The sequence below is a fragment of the Homo sapiens genome, chromosome 4 (assembly GCF_000001405.40).
Source record: "Homo sapiens chromosome 4, GRCh38.p14 Primary Assembly".
Lineage (NCBI taxonomy): Eukaryota > Metazoa > Chordata > Mammalia > Primates > Hominidae > Homo > Homo sapiens.
The window spans coordinates 36297428-36317888 of NC_000004.12; the positions used below are offsets into that span (position 1 = coordinate 36297428).

General features: G+C 37.0%; 1 protein-coding gene across 11 annotated transcripts in view; it reads left to right on the forward strand.

Annotated features, from left to right (window-relative positions):
* The window catches only part of DTHD1 (death domain containing 1), a 65896-nt gene that overhangs the window by 15812 nt on the left and 29623 nt on the right, over positions 1 to 20461 (forward strand). For 9 of the 11 annotated variants that reach the window (NR_160267.1, NR_165630.1, XM_011513693.3 and 6 more), the window contains 3 exons: positions 8764 to 8925; positions 10777 to 11066; positions 18815 to 19059. Coding sequence is in view for 8 of the 11 variants with exons in the window: in XM_011513693.3 (XP_011511995.1) it covers positions 8764 to 8925; positions 10777 to 11066; positions 18815 to 19059 (697 nt within the window). In the remaining 3 variants the exon portion in view is untranslated. Of the gene's footprint in view, positions 1 to 8763; positions 8926 to 9458; positions 9650 to 10776; positions 11067 to 18814; positions 19060 to 20461 lie in introns of those variants that run through there. The other 2 variants (XR_007057923.1, XM_011513695.3) reach the window with 2 other exon arrangements.

Here is a 20461-nt window from a genome sequence, read left to right on the forward strand (position 1 = left end):
CCCTTAGACATTCATTTCCAAGTATTGATTTTAATTTTTGATCAGATATAAATATCAGTTCTTCTTCTCCCTTTTCCCCCAAGCCGAAGCAATTAATTTTTTTTGTGTGTGCTTCTTGACTATTTTCTTGAGCCAACAAGCAAAAGGGTTTTGGTTATTGCTACCAATAACCAAATAACCAGAGAGTGTTATGCCTCTCTCATGGCCAGTGATGCCCTTCTGAGATTCCAGCTTCATGACTTAGTTCAAGCTCCCTCCCTGTGCAGCTGGAGGTTGTATCGTATGTCTGGGAATAGATATTAAACTGTACCTCAAGCCCCTGGCACGTGTGCATGGGTGGGGTTGAAAAGAAGAGGCTGATAGGGGGAGGAGCACCCACAGAATCAATTCCTCGAGTTCCCTAGTGAAGAAAGAGAATTCTTGCTTTTTAGATCCTTGAGTCCAGATCTAGGGGGGATTTCTTTTTTAGCTTTTGAGTTCATATAATTGTGTGTGTGTGTGTGTGTGCACGTGTGTGTGTGTGTGTGTTTATGTGACATTTTGTCCAGAATTCCTGTGGAGTGGGAAAGTGGCTATTTGTCATCAGTTAAATTGGCCAAGTTGCTAGAATAAGCCACTTTTTTTTTGCCTTTGTACATAATCTGTCTTCTAGAAAATCTTTCTTCTGCCACATTTAACTGATATACTCTTGCCCATTCTATAAGTTCCAGTTCAACTCTTTCTTTTTCTGTCCAGATATCCTAAGCTCTCTAGGAGGAATCAAGTGCTCTTTTTTTTGTGTGTGTGCCAACCCCATCCTTTGTACACATCCCACATTCTACTACTGTAGCAATAATATATATTCTTTTTTACATGTCATGACTTAGCACAATTGCAACATAGTAAGTGCTAAAAACATTAGGTAAATTAAATAAATTAATGAGCAAACTCGTGGAAATGTAAATTGTATTGCAAATTCATCTGCACTTTTTGACAATGTTAAATTGATACATTACAATGTGCTATGTTGTTATTAGTCTCAGACATAGTAGGTGCATTTTTTTCCATCTAGTGGAGCATAAAACAAGCAAATGAGACTCCATCTCAACTGTTTATTTAACATTCTTTAATCAAAGAATGAAAGCCAGTTGGACATTTTCTATGGAAACAGAAACACAAAAAGCAATCCATACCCCATGTAATGAAAAAGATAAAAACTATTTGAGGCCAAAGCATAGTCTGAATATTAAGAATGAAAGGTCTGTATTGTGTTATATTCCTTTATGTCTGAATGATTTCTAGTGAAAGGATGAGAGTCATTTAATTATGAGCCAGAAAAGATTTCTCATAGCAGTAAAGAGGAACAATACTTTATTAAATAGGAGCTTATTACTTACTATGCAATCAATATTTTAGAGAGTTAGACAGGAAAATGGTTTTTGCCCATGAAAAATGACATTTCCTACACAATGCAATTGTTTTTAAGATTAAGTTGTTCAAATGTAATATGTGATTCATGCCTGAGAATATTTATAAAATATATGTAAGTCACACCATATAATGAAATGGACAACTAGTAAAGCTAATATCAAACAATAAACTGATCATTATTGATAAAAGTATGCATCTCCTTACTTGCCCCACCTCATTCCATCCCCTTTGTCCTCACCACAGTCACTCATCCCCACCAAATTTAACCACTATTCTGAAATTTTCAATTATTCTTTTGCTTTTATGTATTTCTCTGTTTGATCACATATACTTATATTTGTCCTGATACATTTTCTTCTTCTTCTCTGGCAGCACTCTATAGGTTAAAGTTGAGTAACTCTGGTTTGTTTGGGAGAGAGCATAGTTCACTAGGCATCGTCTTTGGAGACCACCTACCACCTTTGATATAACATGCTAGGATGAAAATGAATTTTTTCCACTTCTTTGGAGATATTATGCCACTCTTTATTGCTGTTCTGAAGACTGCAGTGGATGCAATTTTCATAACTTTATGGGTGATCTGCTTTATTTTGCCTGCTGCTTTCAAGATCTTTTCTTTGCACTTGGTGTTTTGCGTCTATGTATGATCTGTCTAGATACAAATTTTAAACTTTTTCTGAATACAATATATTGTGCTTCCTGAATAAGTGGATGTATGCCTTTTCACATTTCTGAAAAGTTCTTATGTGCTTTCTAATCAAATGCTGGCACTTCTCCATTGTATGCACTCTGTCCTTCCGAGTTTCCACATAGATGTATATATGACCACCTCTTTTTAAATTCCGTATTGTTTACTTCCCTTCTGTTTTCCAGCTCCCTGTCTCTATGTGCCATATTCTGTGCAATTTATTCACATTCCAGTTTGAAATGGCAAAAATAACGCATACCTTAAAAATGTACTTTTAATCTATTATTTGAGTTTTGTTTTAGACAATTTTATTTTTTATTTCTTAAAGTTATATTTTCCCAGCTACTGGGGAGGCTGAGGTGGGAGCCCAGGAGATTGAGGCTGCAGTGAGCTGAGATCATGCCACTACACTCCAGCCTGGGTGACAGAGTGAGACCCTGTCTAAAAAAAAAGTTCTACTTGGCCCTTATTTAAATCTCCCTAATTATCTTTAGAGTTTCTTCCTGCCTTCTTATTTTTGGGATACTGTCCTTTATTAAACTTTTCATATATAGTTGTTTTCATCTTAAATCTGCTAAGTCTAACATCTGAAGTCTTTGGGCGTGTTTATATCTGTCATCCATGGTATTTAGCTTCTAATTTGTTTGAGAACTTTTGCTTGCAAGCATGCAGACGTGGGGTTTCTTCAGGCATAATGGAGTTGCTTTCCTCAAGGTGGCATTTGTTCCTACCTCTGCTGAGAACCATCTGCTACTTACCTGGGGCTACATTAGCCTTCTTGAGAGTCTTGGTGAAGGTCTCAAGTTCACCTTTCCCACATGGCTGTGATCCCAAGGACTGACAGTGTCATGTTCTGCTCACTTGATTATTGCTTACAGTTTGATACTCCTGCATCTACATTACAGGAAAGGTGTTTGCCATCTTAGTAATCCCCTCATTCCTGCCTGGTTGCTCCCTTAGCTGCAACCCTGACTTCACACATTTTATTTGGAGAGGGGTTTGGAAAATTTCAAAAGAATTTGTATCAAAAAATTCTTTTAAAAGTATGCAAGCCAAAAAAATACGTATCCAAAAGCACATTTATCAAGATCTCGCTGTTTTACACTAAAGATTATTCTAAATTTGTTATTTATAATTCTGGAATTTGTGTATTAAATTTATGATATTTTAGAGTCTACCTAAGAAGGAAATGATAATTTTATAGATAATGAAATCACACATACTACATTTTCCTTTGTGCTTCTCAATGAGTGCTGTATTGTCAACGCAGGCAAATCTCATTTAATAGAGTAAAATTGTTTCAGTGAAACATTAAAGTAAATGCTTACTGAGAAAATAAGATTTGTTTCATGTGTTAAACTTGGAGGTAGTGTACTTAGAAGTATTTTTAATTCATAAATACTGTTTTCCTTAAGAAAATAAGATTCCCTGTGAATTGGAATGCCAAGTGAGAAATAATTTAGTTTTTAAATAAAAAAGAAACTATCCTTGAAAAATTCCCAATAGTGTCTATTTCCCAGTTAGAGAAACAAAATATTAAGGTGCATTGGAGCAGATTTTTTAATCTTGTGAAAAATCTTTTGAATATTGTTTATGAGGTACTTAGGCCATTTAACTGGGAAAGATGTAATTGTGCACTGTTAGGCTTGAGAAAATGCAGGCTGGAAGGTATATCTATTGCTTTCCCTGCTAGACACCTTGTATTTTGGGAACTGTACTACAATTTCTGCAAATTGCCCTTTCTATCCATGCAGATGCAGTGGGAGCTTCTATGTTCATTAATATCCCTACATTTAATTAAACACTTGACCTACAAGAGGCTGATCATAATTCCCTGATGCCTAATAAAAAGGGTAATTTTGGGAGTAGCTCATATCTTAGGATATAAAACTCCAGAGTTGTCGACAGCCGTGATTTCTGCTGCTGGAAAAAAAATGATCATTAATAGTACTAGATGAAAAAGGAAAGATGCAGAGAAGAGAAGTAATTAGATAAAGATGATGTTCCAATTTGAGACAGAGTTTTTATCTGACGCCCTCCACATTTGTCTGTTTGCCCCATTAACAATCAAGGATTACTATAATTAATTCACTTATAACTAAGTAAAATGGATTTGGGTTTCTGTTACCTGTACCCCAAAGAGTCTTAGCCAATACATCTACTTATCTGTATACTCCTTGGTATATGAATCTGATCGTCCCTAGGAATACACAGGCAAATCTACAGAGTGAACAGAACCTTCTAAGATGAAAGAGATTGAAGTCATCACTCCCTTTTTTTTTTTCCTGAGGTGCAACATTATTGAAACGTTTCTGTTGGGTTTAAGTGGATATTCTGCTGTCAGCTGGCAAGAAAACATAGCATAATAGAGAAAGAAATTTGAATGGATGACTAAATTTCATCCTAGGATGACCTAGGCTCATTTTTGTCCAGAAACTGAATAAAATATAAGACAGTTCTAGCACTGTGAAAATTTCTTTGAAAAAATTACTGTGTGGGCATGTTGGGGGCCAGGGTGCGGGGGCCCACTAAGGTACAGCGTCATCGGGAGCTCAAGCTCAGGGTGGAATAACTGAACCACGCATAGCGTAACAGTGGAGAGTTTTCTTGTTTTTCCTCACCTTAAAAACTATTGCCCGAATAGTGGCACATGTAGGTAAATACACCAAACGAGGGCATTGCATCAGATCATGGGGGATCTTCCGTTTTCAATAGCAGTGAGGCAGCAACATCAGCAAAGCAAAAGAGAATGGGACCATACATGAAGACTGAGGACTACTTAGATTATGTAGGGTTTTTTTCTCTGTACAATACTTGTAACTGTGACACCTTGAACTGGGTAAAGCTCCAAGGGTAGATGGACCTACAGTCAGAATGCAGTTACATCAGGAGAGAACGTTTCTCTCAGCTGTGTGGTAAGCACTCAGGTCATTTGAACTGATATCCAACAGTGATTACACCGATTACAAATGGTAAAATTAAGGTACAGAGTTTGTCATAAAATATGTCAAATATTGACATAAATATGGCAATATTTATGACATAATATTAATGTAAATATGACGTTTTAAAATATGTCAAATATTTCACCACTTTAAAGACAAATAACAATCCATGTAGAAATAAAAACTACCAGAAATTTATCAATATATTATAATATTTGACTTCAGGCAATGTGGCTATGTGGACTTTCTTCTTCCCTTTACTTTTCCATTTTAAATGAATTTTATGATCAACATGAATAACTTAAAGTGGGAAAATATTTGAAGTTTTTTGAATACAGCACACTATTTAAAATTAATACTTTAATGACTAAATTATACTTTTCTGAGAAAAAGTTAACCTCAAAACATTGGTGACATTCATGTTTAAATATCTACGCATCATGAATATCACAAAGAAAATATCCTGAAAGTAAAATACAATATAGAATGAGAATTTTGATGGTTTGAATGCTTGTCAAATTCTGTATCATATATTATTTTTTTCCACAGATAAACTAGCATGACATTTTAATCTGTAGCCTCAGGGAGATTAGTACTGTCTGGGTGAGTCCCAAGCAAAATTGGTCATTTTAAAATAAACACATTTAAAAAATAAATCTTTACTATTTTTGGAACTGTCACTATGTCAGCATGTTGCCTTTTATGGAGTTTGATCAAGTGCTACTCACTGTCAGACAATACTAGTTGTCAAACTTTGCAATTAGCATATATTAAGGAAATAGTTTAGTTGCAGAGCTGTTACCAGTTGTGAGACACAAGTATACTATCAGATTATTTAATTTGAATGTGGACTGTGCCTATTAAAGTTTAAGTTTAATCTTTATATCGTTAAGGACTCTTTTGATTTAAGTGATAGGAAAGCCAATCCAAAGTGTTTAAGCAAAAAGAATTTTTGATATATGTAAATTAAAAATCTGAGGATGTATCTATCTATATATTTTTTCCTCAACCAGGAAGAACCTAGTCTCTCTTCTTCATCTCTATCTGCTTTCCTCTGTGCCAATTCCATTCTCTGACATGCTTGTTCCTCATTCTGGCAACATAGTTACATCTTTATAAGTCTAAGTTCGTAGAAAAGAGGAAGCTTTTTCCCTATGAATATGCATAAAAGTGCAGGGCCTGATTCTCACTCCAGATCTGTCACAAATCCATCACTGAATGGATCACTGGAACCGGAAGACAGATATAGCACAGATTAGCCTAGGTTATGGCATGATAGCAAAACTCTCAAATCCCAAGGGCTTAAATGACAATCTTTGCATCTGTCATGGCCATCAAAGGTAGGCTGCTTCTTGGTCATCCTCACTCTAGATAGAACAGCCACTGTTCGGTTGCTATCACTGTGGCAGAAGAAAGACCTTTGGATAGACCTATATTAGCAATTAAGTCCTTGGCCTCAAAGTGACACATATTTTTTTTCATTCACATCATTTACTGGAACTAGTCACTTGGCCCCACTCAACCACAGAGGCCAGGAAGTGTAACCCTGTCATGTATTCAGATCAGGGTGAAACTGGATATTCTGGTGAGCAGCATTAATGAATGACCAATGCATTATTTGGCTCAGGTTATATACCCAATGGTCCTGGGAGTAGGGACCAGCCCCACTACCCTTGGGAGCCTGTTGGTCTCCACAAATACTTTAGGTTTTGACAGAAAAGAAAGTGAATGAATGCTATCAGAAAAAAATTACATTGAAGTCAATTTCTAGTAAATGACCAATATTCTGGATTCAGTAAGAGTATAACTTCCTGTGTGAATAAATTATTAACTTCCAAGGGTTATAGAATTTACCATATCTGTGGTTATAACCCAACAGCATAAAAGTAAACGTTATTTTTCCCCTAAGCTCCTAATTTTAATCTAGCTGATCTCCTGAAGTAACCAATACAGAGTAAGAAGTTTTCAGAGTAGACATATTAAATCAAGTTCAGTTTCTAATCTGAATCTATGGGTCATAGGACAGGTCAACCTGTGAAAGTAAGTTGGTTTTTAACTTCTAGTTAAAACTAGAGTGTAACTCTAGTTCACTTGACAAATGAAGACATGAAATTCACATTCTGGTCTCCATTCACATACCATGGCTTTGTCTCTTTGTGGAGTGTAGGTAGCATCATCAGACTAGGTATTTTTCCCCAAAGATGTTCAGTAATAGGGACTTTTCTTCCTTTAGTTGTAGGGAACAGATGTTCACTTAAACGAACTCAAGAAAAGAGTTTATTGTGAGGCTAAAACAGTGAACCTCTGCTTTCTCCATCTCTAGGACTATGTGGATCCTCTCCTCTTGATTTTTCTCCTTTTTCTCTCTTAGCATCTATTTTTCCTTTCTGAATAATCTTTCTGCTTATTAATTTTCATTGACCAAGGTACCACAGAAACAGGACTGTGACAAGTTACAGTCCCTGGGCCACTTAGTCAAATTCCAAAGAAAAAGAATCAAATTGGCTGGCTGTTGGAAATTGGTATACTGTTAGTCACATGAGCTGTGGTTGGGGAAAAGTATCACATGGTACATACAGCCAATTTCTTCAGGGCCTTTGGGTGGGGCAGGCTACACAAGAAGGAAAATTGTACAAGAAAGCAAATTGGCTGTGTCTACAGCAGAAAGCAGAGTTAGAATATTAATACTATTTATGCTCACTACAATTATAAGTGCTTTAGAAATATTAATTCCTTTAATTCTATGATGTTGGTACTTGTATTAGTCCATTTTCATGCCACTGATAAAGACATACCCAAGACTGGATAATTTATAAAGAAAAAGAGGTTTAATGGACTCACAGTTCCATGTGGCTGGGGAGGCCTTGCAATCATGGTGGAAGGTGAAAGGCATGTCTTACATGGCAGAAGGCAAGAGAGAATGAGAGCCAAGCAAAAGGAGAGACCCCTTATAAAACCATCGTATCTCATGAGACTTATTCACTACCATGAGAACAGTATGGGGGGAAACTGCCCCCATGATTCAATTATCTCCTACCAGGTCCCTCTCACAACATCGCAACACGTGGGAATTATGGAAGCTACAGTTCAAAATGAGATTTGGATGGGAGCACAGCCAAACCATATCGGTACCATTATTATTTTCATATGATAGGTAAGAAAACAGACAGAAAGAAATCAAATAATTTGCCCATGGTCATACAGTTCATAAGAGGCAGAGTCACCCAGGCTTTGAAACTGGGCAGTTTTGCTCCTGGGTGTGTGCTCTTCCCTTTTTTGCTATACAACCACTCTTTGCTATTCTAGAGCATCTGGGTTTACATCAGCGAGTTTATTAATGTTTTTGGGTACTCTCTTAAATCTATTTTGCCAGTTGCAAAAAGCTTGTCATTCTCCAAAGCTCATCTCAAATATTAGCATTTTCACTTTGCAAGCTTCCCGAACCTCTTGCTTCTGCTCCTAAACCACCCTGTACGTTTCTTTAATTATCACACAAGTCACCTTGTGCTGTAATCAGATAATACTGTGTTACTACGTGCTTCTTTAGGGCAAGGGTTATATAGTTTGATCTCTGTGTTCCTGGTGCAAAGCATAATTCCTGGCACATAGTATGTACTTAATGAATTGTTATTAGATCATTCACAATGAAAGAATGAATGCATTAAATAAGATTTATATCATGTAAATTGTACCAATATCTCTTCTGTTACCATTATATAGGACAAAAATTGCCTCCATAAGAAAACCTAGGAAAAATGCCAGTGAATGTTTGAAATTACTGGGATTCAGAAGCCAAGACAGTGGTTGGTGTGGGCTTGATGATGTTGTGAAAACCATACAGAGCGGCTTGGTATCAGTTGAATTGTATGAACATTTGGAGAGGTAATACCATCAAAAACAATCAAAGTTGATGATACTCTTTCTGATGGTCATAACTGGTGTTTATAGAAATGGAATAGTAAGATTAAATTTTTATTCTTCGAATAGAAATATTAACCATTCTTTAAAGGGTACTTAAAATACAAACCAGAATTGACATGGGTATGCTATCTGTAATTTCATTTATGATAGTTAAACAAGTACTTTGGGAAAGCACTCATAACTACAGGTTTCTGCTAACTCCAAAATAGTTTTAAAATAGCACCTTCATTTCTGAAATACCATGGAGATAGTAATTAACTGTTCATATTATGCATATCTCATAACTATGTATAGATAAGCGGAATTTGTTACTTCAGTGCCCTCATTTTGCTTTCTCATTTCCATGTTTTCTAGACAGCCCATTATGAGAAGAGTTTTAGACAGATTTAAGGTTCATGAAGAGTAGCCACTCATAGAGACAGGTGATCATATATCTAAAAATAGCTTTTATTTCATAATGGGAAGTTTTACATTTATGATTGTCTTGAATCCAGTTTCCTAGGAATAGAGTCTGAGATGAAAAGCAAGTGATTTATTGAAAGAAAGCTCTTGGGTGAATCCTGTAGGGCAAAGGAGGAAGATGGAAAAAACCATGGTTTCAGATGAAGTATTTCTGTAGCCTGACACGCTCCGGGGAGCTCTGCAGTGCGAGTACCAAGGCGGCTGGCCTTACATCCCCACATTGGTCAGTCCTTGTCTATGGATGTAGGGCTGCTCTGGGTGAGGGCCTCTTTTAGGCCAAATCACTGAAGAAGAATTTGAGAATGGGTAGCCCAGTCCAGGGAAAGAGGTCTGTATTAGTTTGTTAAGGCTGCTCTAACAATGTACCACATACTGGTGGCTTAAACAACAGAAACTTATTGTTTCACAGTTCTGGAGGCCAGAAGTACAAAATCAAGGTGCTAGCAGGGTTTGTTCCTTCCAAGGGCTGTGAGGGAAGGATCTGCCCAGGCCTCTTTTCTTGGCTTGTAGATGGCCATCTTCATGGTCTCAGGGTGTTTTCTCTGTATGCATTTCTATGTGTTAAAATTTCCCTCTTTTATGACATCAGTCATACTGGATTAGAGAAGACCTTAACGACCTCACCTTAACCTGATTACTTCTGTAAAGTCCTTATCTCCAAATAAGGTCACATTCTGAGGTACTAGGGGATAGTACTTCAACATATGAATGTGTATGTGTGTGGGGAGGGTGAGACACAATGCAATTCCTACCAACGTCCATCCTAACGATCCTTCCCACCTACACAGAGATGCGTATTTTAATCCCCATTTAATTATGGTATACATTCTGCATCCTATGGAGTCAATAAATTATTGTGCTCATCTTTCTCTTCTATATTTTAAATATGCTCTTTTGTAATTCTAATTAAAATATCACTTAAAATATGCTGCCATGTTTAGAGCTGAGCTGAGACTGTATGACTTCTTCGTTTAAGAACATGTTTTAGAATTTATTTTGATTTCAGCTGGTTTCTTTTTTTATTTATTTCTTTTTTTACAGAGATTGAGTTTTGCCATGTTGCCCAGGCTGGTGTTGAACTTCTGGGCTCAAGCGATCCACCCTCCATGGCCTCCCAAAGTGCTGGGACGCCTCCCAAGTGGCATGAGCCACTGTGCCCAGCCTGAGCTGGTTTCTTGATGGCCAAGAGTTTCTTTACAATCATTAATGAATCTCACCTGTTGTCTTTGAGAATACTTGATTTTAAAAGACGTCTGTTTGATATGACTCTTTTCTTGGGTGTTATTAGATATCAGTGATGTTCTTGACACTGCATTTTTCCCTGGGGTCTCACCTCTTTCTTCCATGCAGGTTTATTGTACTTCACCTCTCTTCCACCATGGACAATAGTCATTTGGTTACTTTTGTGAAATCTTTAGAGGAAGCCATGCTCAGCACCACTGCCTGCATAGTACTGTCTCACCAGAAGGACAATCCACATAGAATAGCTGTTTTAGTGGTGCCTTCCAAAGATTTAAGCCAGGTGCTTAAGGACCTGCACTTGGAAGGGTTTGGAGGACCTCCAGAGCCATCTCGTCATTTCCAAGTTCGAGAAGGAGAACAACTTCTTTTAAGATTTACTGGAAACATATTTGCTTCAAGTAAGTATAAAGAAATCTTTTTATATATTTTATTGGCTATAAGCCACAAGCTCTTCAGAAGAGTTTGCTAAACTTGTGTTACTAAGGAAACCTTCAGAGGATTGACGAGAGACTTTAGGAAGTAGGAAGAGAAAAAGACTTATTTATTATACTTTTTTTGTTCCTATTTCTTTATTCTCTACTTAGGGAATGCATGTTCCTTTATGGGAAGATTCTAAGTGACACTTTTTAGAAATAGCCTTCTTCACAGTTACTATCTGAGTCCAAGCTAGGATTATCTCTTTCCTACAGGAGTAAAGTTGCCTTCTAAGTGCTTCCATTATTGGCCATATGAAATCAATTACCATGTGGTAATAAGAGTGATCATTTAAAAACATAAATCATACTATATTATACCAGTGATTACAACCTTATTTTTACCTCCTATTCTATCTAAAATAATATCCAAACTCTTTAAGATGTTTTACAAAGAATCTAACCTGGGGGTCAGTGGACTCCCAAAAATGTGTGAATAGATCTATATTTCAGTATTATTGCTATATTTTTTATTCCATGTATTTTATTTTATATTTTTCAAAGACTACTCTGAGAATCAATGGACAGTTTTCACCAAACTCTAAAGGAGTCTATGGGAAAAAAGAAATTAAGAATAATTGATCTAGGCTGGGTGTGTGGCTCACGCCTGTAATCCCAGCACTTTGGGAGGCTGAGGCAGGCAAATCACTTGAGGTCAGGTGTTTGAGACCAGCCTGGCCAACATAGTGAAACCTCGTCTCTATTCAAAATACACACAACACACACACACAAAAATTAGTCGGGTGTGGTGGCAGGTGCCTGTAATCCCAGCCGCTGGGAGGCTGAGGCAGGAGAATCACTTGAACCCGGGAGGCGGAGGTTGCAGGTTGCAGTGAGCCGAGATCGCAGGTTGCAGTGAGCCGAGATACCTTGCTTGCTTCTTTTCCCATATTTCTCTAGTGCTATTTTTGTTTTCACTCTAAATCTTACCACAATTTGAAATTATTTAATTAATTTATTTACTTTTTGTTCATATAGTTATGCTATGTCCTTTACCCTTCACCGGAATGAAAACTTCATGAGGGCAATGACCATGTCTTTCTTGTTAATATATCCTCTGAGCCTAACATAGGAACTGGTATATCCAAAACTTTTTTTTTCTTTACAAAATGCTTTATTTTTTATATCAACCCAACTAAACACTGACACCAGTAATGTATTACCAGTTATTGTACACTTTAATCAAATACACTGAAGAAATATCATTGACTGACAAATAAACTATCATCCTCATTTTTTCTGTACAATGTTTGATAGATTTATATCTAGAGAATGATTTCAACAACGAGTTTTTCAGCCCTTGTAGTCTCCAGTTTCTATTGTTGCCATCCTCATGTCCATGTGCACCTAAGGTTTAGCTCCCACTTATAAGAACATGCAGTATTAGGTTTTCTGTTTCTGCATTAATTTGCTTAGGATAATGACTTCTAGTTGCATCCATTTTGTTGCAAAGGACATGATTTTGTTCTTTTTTGTGGCTGCATGGTATTCCATGGTGTATATGTACCACATTTTCTTTATCCAGTCCACCATTGATGGGCACGTAAGTTGATTCCATGACTTTGCTATTGTAAATAGTGCTGCAGTGAACATGCAAGTGCTTTTGATAAGTGTGTAGTGAATGAATGATTATATGACAGTGATGAGGAAAGCAAGCAGGATGAATATGAGAGGTGGCAGGAGAGATTACAGAAGTGAAGGAATAGATGAGACTAAAGAGTTCAAAGGAAAGAGATGAAGAGAAAGAGAAAAGGAAGAAAAAGAACAAGAAGAGAAAACAGCTGTGTGGGAATAGAGAGGAAACGTCTTTGAAAGAGTTGCCATCACAACAATTTCTTTTTCATTAAGCCAACACCTTCCTCTTTCTAACTGCTTGCCCTGTGGTGGAATAGAATCAGACAGGTGTGTGTGTAAAAATGAGGTGAGAGGGAAAATTCCGGACAGGTTTTATGAAGATTTCTGTTCCAGGAGGCTTTCTACATACTTTACTTGAGGGGATGTGCTCCGTTTACTTATAAATTAATATGGATCCGATTTAATTTTATTATGCCTATTTTCTCTCTGATTCAGGAAATAGCTCCAAGCTTCATTGGTTCTTTTTTTGCTTCAAAAAAGGGACAAGGCTTGAAGCTGATGCTGCCCTCCCAGCTTTTTTGATATCTCAGGAATAAGTGAGACCTAAAGTGTCCCAATTTTAAGTGTCTATTCTACTGTCACATACAGGATCTCAGCATCTGAGCCAGCTGACGGGACTTAGTGAGCAAGTGACAAAGATGGCAGAGAAGGGGGCAGGGAAGAGAGAGGAGGGAGAGGAAGGAAGGGTGGAAGAGGCCCCTTCCTACTTGGCTTCCGGAGCAGAAACCACAGCGTCCACCCTGGAGAAATCTCTCTACTGAGACATAGTACTAAGCAGAAGGGTCCCACCCAAACGAATGATGCAAATGATTTTCCTGTAATACTGTGGACAGCAGCTGTGTTTACCAACCACCCTAAATAGGAGTGCATTACTGTTCTACTCACAAGCAGTGGTACTGAATATCCCACTGCCTGTTGTGGAGACCGGGGAGCACGTGCTAAACCAAGAGCGTCCAAGGCAGCCGTCACCTGTGCAATTCCTCCCTATAAGGGTTGGGGAAGAGTTCATCTTCATTCAGGGAAAATGAGCAGGCAGGATACCCAGATCCTGGGTTTGCTTTTCCTAGGGAGACAGGCTCAGATCTGGAGCCTCACTGGGTTTTTCTCTGCCTAAGAGGGAAAAGATCCTCAGTAAACAATTGATACCTCATCCTGGTAAAAGCATAGATCCATCCTTTTATCAGGGCCTAGCGTAGTCTCTGTGAATCTCAAAGAGATAAAGCTAGAGATTCTCTGCCTGGAGGGTTCTCCTCGCCCTCCCCACCCCCACCCTCACCCCCAGTTCTCTCCTGCTGTATCTTCAGATCTCACCTCAACTATCATGTTCTGAGAAGCTTTCTCTATCCTTCCTGATTATGTCAGACCTTATTTTATTTTTTAATAGTTCTATTATACTTTTGCAGATCCTCCTTTTTTCATTTGTGGCCTTTGTCACATGCAATTTTCTATTTTTTCATTTAATTGTTTGACCAATGCCAGTTTCTCCTACCATGGTCACATCCATGGAGGCACTGTCCTGCTGGTGGGCAGCATTCAGTCTCCATCCTATTGGAGGGCAGCATTCAGTCCCCAGCACCTAGGGCAGAGCCTGACAGTTAGAATAAACTCAGTATTCATTGAAAGAAATGAAGACCAAAGTTTAGAAAAAAAGCATTATAGTATTAAGTGCAATTAAAAGTATTTAAAACTTTAATTAATAAATTTAGATTACTGCCTTTGAGAAATGCCAAAATCTCTCTATTCACTTATAGAGAATATGAATGACTTTTCAGTGAAGGTCACAGGACATGGACTGTATTTCTATCTCTAATAGGAAGGAAGATGGATAGGTGCGTCCTTTGGTTTTTATGACGGTTTTTGGCATTCTTCTGGAAACAAGCTACAGCAAGCTTTCATTCTCTAGGTTAGAGTTGTCAGTTTAGCACTTGGATTATTGCATGTTATTCAAGCCCCAACTGCACACAAAATCCAGAAAGTGCCAGGAAGTGTTTTAATATGATTTTATATAATGACACCATGGCATCATCCATAACATCTAGTAATGCCCTGTGAGGTCTGCCTTTTAAAGTTGCCCTGAATGCCCTTTGGCCCAGGGAAGTGATTTTTCTAGATATTCTATAGGATGTATCTCTACATCTATCTCTACACCTATATAATAACCATTCTTTAATTTGCTCAACAAAAATTTGTTGATCTTAGGTATATTAAAGTCTAATGAAGAAAGACAGAGAATAAGCAAATAAGTAAATAAAATGCATAGCTTAATTTGGGCTGAAAAGTGAATTATAGAAGAATAAAGCAGGGAAAGGATAGGGGGACCTTAAAGGGTGTAGCAGGCTTGCAGTTTTATCTCAGGGAAGACCTTTCTGGAAAGGTGACATTAAAAAAAAAAAAAAGTCTCTAAGCGGGTGAGGAAGCAAGCCATAATCCTATCTCAGGGAGTTTATCCCAGACAGAGGGATTGCCAGTGACACTGAACTCGGTGGCAACTTGCCTTGTGTGTATGAGGAACAATGGGAGCCTGAGATGGCTGGATCAGAGGGAGTGAGCACAGGTTGTGGGAGATGAGGTGAGAACTGATCATGCCTTGTAGGCCATTGGAAAGACTGCCTTTTCTGCTGAGTGATTTGGGGAAACATGAAGGGTTTTCAACAGAGAAGTGATCAGAGTTAGATTATAACTGCGTTGAGAATAGGCTTTAGAGCAAGAGGAGAAGCAAGGAGATCAGTTACTGTTTAATTGCAGTAAACCAGGCAAAAAATGGCATGGCTTAGAGGTAGAGCTGGTGGGGAATGGGTTACAATATAGAAATACACTGAGCCAGTGGTTCTCACAGGGTTTTTCTGGTTTCCCGGACTGCTAGCACTTTCAATTTTTTAAATATGACTTCCCTAAGCAAAAATATTTATTGTTACATTTGTATTTTCTATGTCATCAATGAAAAATATTTAATGCCCATTATTGAGAAGAAAATATATTGCTATAAGGGACAGCAGGTAATCCACAAAATATAAGTACATTCTGGAACTTTTTACATGACAAGTATTTACTAAATAGCTACTATCTCAAGACACTTCTAGGGGACTATATACTTAAGATATTGAGAAAAAGAAAAAGATTCTCAAAAGGTCAATTACTGGTTGATTTTACACTTTGGGTATGGAATGAATGAGTTTTTCTTTTATTTCTCCTTTAAATATGCCAGTGAGGGAGGAAAAAAAAAAAAAAACAGAGTAGTGCAGTTTCTTCATGCCACTTCTCTTTTTTTGGATTTATTTTTTGTTCAGGGGCCAGGAGTCTTTAAAATATATTATTATGCCTTAACAACAATGAAACTCCAACTTTCCAAAATTACATAATGGTTTCTGTTTACAACATGAAGATTATGCTATTTACTGCTAGTAAATCTTCAATAATTTCATCCCAACTACATATATAAATGTGATCTTTAGAGAGTTGCCCTAGAGGTCTTTAGTTTTAAAAATTGGTATACATTTTAGGTCTCAATTGAACCAGTGTGGCTATGCCTCACCCTCAACCCTTATATCCTCTGTGTAAACCATTTCTTATGAATAATTGTGCCCCCGGCAGAGAGTATAATGTCTTTCAAGGGATAGAAGGGGAAATTTACTAATTGGTATTCCACAGGGACCAAAGTAGTAAAAGTTTTCTTGACAGCACTCTAGTAGTATGGAAACAGAAGTTAGCCAGATGTTACTCCAGTGAGCTGGAAACCCCAATTTACCTAATTTACTATTTAGATAACATTTAAATGACCCCAAATAGTCTACTTTTTTTTTTTTAACCAAAGTGAGACACTCTTAAGAAGACAAACCCTGGCTACTCATTTGTCTCCTAGGAATCTGTTTTTTTTTTTTTTCTTTTTTTCCAAGTAGCCAGGTTGCCTCTCAAATATAAACTTTTGCAAAGGGATCTACTCCTACACCATCTGTAATCTGGAGTTATTCTATTTCTAGATTTAACTGAGCTTTAGAAAAATCACCAAAATGATCTCAAGCAGTCAGGACCGGGAGAAGGGTCATGGTATCTTCTACATCTCTCACTGAAGTCTTTGTTCACTGGGCAAAATGGAAAGTTTTCCATGAGGGAGAACTCTGGGCAGTCAACTGCATGCTGGCTTACAATAACCGAAGGAAGTTTCCATGTAGACATGAAAGCTAAATCTTGGCCAGGTGCGGTGGCTCATGCCTGTAATCCCAGCACTTTGGGAGGCCAAGGAGGGTGGATTGCTTGCCTTCAGGAGAGTTCGAGACCAGCCTGAGCAACATGGTAAAACCCCGTCTCTACAAAAAAAAAAAAAAAAAAAAATTACCCAGGCGTGGTGGCCCACATTTATAGTCCCAGCTGCTTGGGAGGCTGAGATGGGAGGACAGCTTGAGCTTGGGAGGTGGAGGTTTTAGTGAGCTGAGATTGTGCCACTGTGGAGCTGTGTCATTCCAGCCTGGGTGACAGAGTGAGGCTCAGTCTCAAAAAAAAAGAAAAGAAAAAAAGCTTCGTCTTGACATTTCTTTAAACAATCTGAGTTTTTTTTTTTTTTTTTTTTTTTGCATGCAAATTCCAAATAGTGGAAGAATCCTGCCTCTTATCATTTGCTATCATTGCTGTCATTTACTGAGCACTTACTGTGTGCCAGGCCCTATGACAATTATTTTATCCAAATTTTCTCATTTCATTTCCTAAACAATCCTAGAAGTTAAGCTTTATTTCTCCTGTTCTAAGGGTAAGGAAGCTAAGGGAAGCTCAGGCTCTAAGAAGCTCAGAGATATGAAAAACAATGGACAAGTATTAACAGATAAATATTACAGAATACACAAATCATAGAGGCTGCACTTGAACCTAGATCTATACATCCAAGACATATCATCTTAAGTGCTACATTATAGCTTCCTACAAATTTTACAAATTTTGATGTAGACATATATTGCCTTAGGAAACATGGTAGTGTTTATTCTACTGTTGAAATAACAACGTGAAATATCCTGATTGTCATGATAAAACCCCAGTAAGTGAAAGGTTATGTTCACAAAAGCTCTAGAATTTTCAGTAAGGAGTTGATAAAACATTTATATATTATCATTTTAGGAGAATCTGTCAGGTTTTCATAGAAATTTCAGTAACACAAATTCAATAACTATTACACCTGAAAGTTCTAGATCAACACTGTCCAATTCCACACTTGTGGAAATGTTTTATATCTGTGCTGTTCATTACGGTAGCCATTATGCCTATGCTGTCATTGAGACTTTTAAATGTGGGTAGACTGACTGAGGAGTTAAATTGAGTTTTATTTACTGTTCATTAATTTTCATTTAAACTTAAATTGCCACATGTTATAGGAGAGTGCAGTTCTAGAATGTCTATTGTGAGGTCACAATATGAATAGTTAGGGGAAAGGAAAAAGATAATTCTCAACGGGTGAAAATAATTTTCTAAATGCTGCAAAAGCTGAATATTTCAAGTAGTTTCTGGTTATATCAAAATGGAATAGAGAAAGAAAAGCTAAAGATTACTTGATTTAGAAGCAGCCAGAGAGCACCTGGCCCAACAACCGATGAGAAATCTTTCGAGTAATCTACATGGTCTCTGCCTATTGCTCCTTTGTCAGGTTATGTTTTGACAAAAGACAATGATACACAAAAGTTTTAATCGTATTTTTAAAATAAAATAATTATTTGGATTTTTTAAAATTAAGTAACACAAAGTGGCACATCTTTTTCGTTTGTTTGTTTGAGACGGAGTCTCCTTCTAGCGCCCAGGCTGGAGTGCAGTGGCGTGATCTCCGCTCACTGTAAGCACCGCCTCCTGGGTTCACGCCATTCTCCTGTCTCAGCCTCCCGAGTAGCTGGGAGTACAGGTGCCTGCCACCACGCCCGGTTAATTTTTTGTATTTTTAGTAGAGACGGGGTTTCACCATGTTAGCCAGGATGGTCTCGATCTCCTGACCTCGTGATCCGCCTGCCTCGGCCTCCCAAAGTGAGATAACTTAATGGTAATAAATACATTTTACTTCTATTTAGGCAACGGGAAGGATTATGGAAAAGACTACACACTTATTTTTCACTTGCAAAGAAAACCTAGGCTGGAACTCCAAATCAAAGAAGTGGACGAATTTGGAAACTATAGTTGCCCTCATTACAAAGGCACCATTGTCGTTTATAAAGTACCTAAAGGAAAGATAGTCCCCAACTTGAATCAATCTCTCGTAATTAATGAAAACCATTCTCAGTTGCCAATTTGCAAATTACCATTGAAATTGCCAAAGGTGAGTTATTTTACTTTTCTAATTACTACATTTTGTTAATTATTTATAATTCTGTAACACAATCAGTTTTTCAGTCATAGAGACACATACAGTTAAAAGAAAAGGTAAGAATAGAGGTAATAAAGAAGGAGTAGGTAGGTCCAATTTTAGAGTATTAGAAAACATGTTAGGATTTCTCCTTTTGTTCATATCAGCCTTTCTAACAAGAATGCTTCAGATTGGTCTGGTCCCCACAGCATGTTGTTGCTAACTATGAAAATAATGTCATTCATTTTCTGTAACTGCCTCTGAGTCACTGGAAAATCATTTATGAAAAAAATACATTACAGAGCACATCATTTTAAGGAAAAGTCATGGTGAAGAGAAAAATGACCTCAAAATATTTATACTGAAACTTACCAGATTCTGCATGGTTGTTTCATGAGTTATGTTTGCCTAAAATTCTTACTCATGTCAGAAAGTAGGATTAAATTATTTCTTTGAACATGTCAAACACACAAATAAATACATTTTATTGCTGTATATTACAGTTTATTTCAGTGAAACAGGACTTGGTGAATCTAAACTACCTTTTTAACAAGAAATATAACTGAAAAATTTACTTCATTAATCTTGAGGTAAAAACAAACTTCTTATTCTTTAAAGAAAGCTAAAATCATTTTCCCACATTTATATTTTTTGTCTATGACTAGCAGGAATGTGTTTTCCATGCGGTTAGATTTTGCACTGATTTAAAATAAATCATTAAAGTAATTTAGCAAATATTAATATTGAACTTCTGAAATAGGGGATGTGCTGCGCTAGGCTTTGTGATAAATACAGAGCTGTAAAGGATAATACATGCCCTAAAGCTGTGTTGTTCTGAATGGTCACTACTGCCCATATGTGGCTGTGGAGCACTTGAAATATGGCTAGTCTAAACTGAGATGGGCAGTAAGTTTAAGATACACACTGCATTTCAAAGACTCAGTACAAATAATATATAAACTATCTCATTAATAATTTGTTTACATAGACTACATGGTAAATTTATATTTTGGTTATATGAGGTTATATAAAATATATAAAAATTAACTTCCTCTTTTATTTTTTAAACATCTTAAATAGTTACTATTAATAGAATATTTTAAACTACATATGTATCTCAAATTATATGTCTATGGAATAGTGCTTCTCTAAATGAATTTATAATCCAGTGAATAAGTACACAAAACAATACACAAAATTACGTTGTAAAATAGTAACTGATTGAAGTTATATTTAGGTGATATAAACAGTGGTACTAATAGTTGGTACTAGATGGTACTAATAGTTGTTCAGAGAAGGGAAATGGCTTTTTTATAATCTGTAACCAGTAGAAGTTTTGTGGTGTTTGTGGCATTTTATCTGAGCTTTGTAAGTT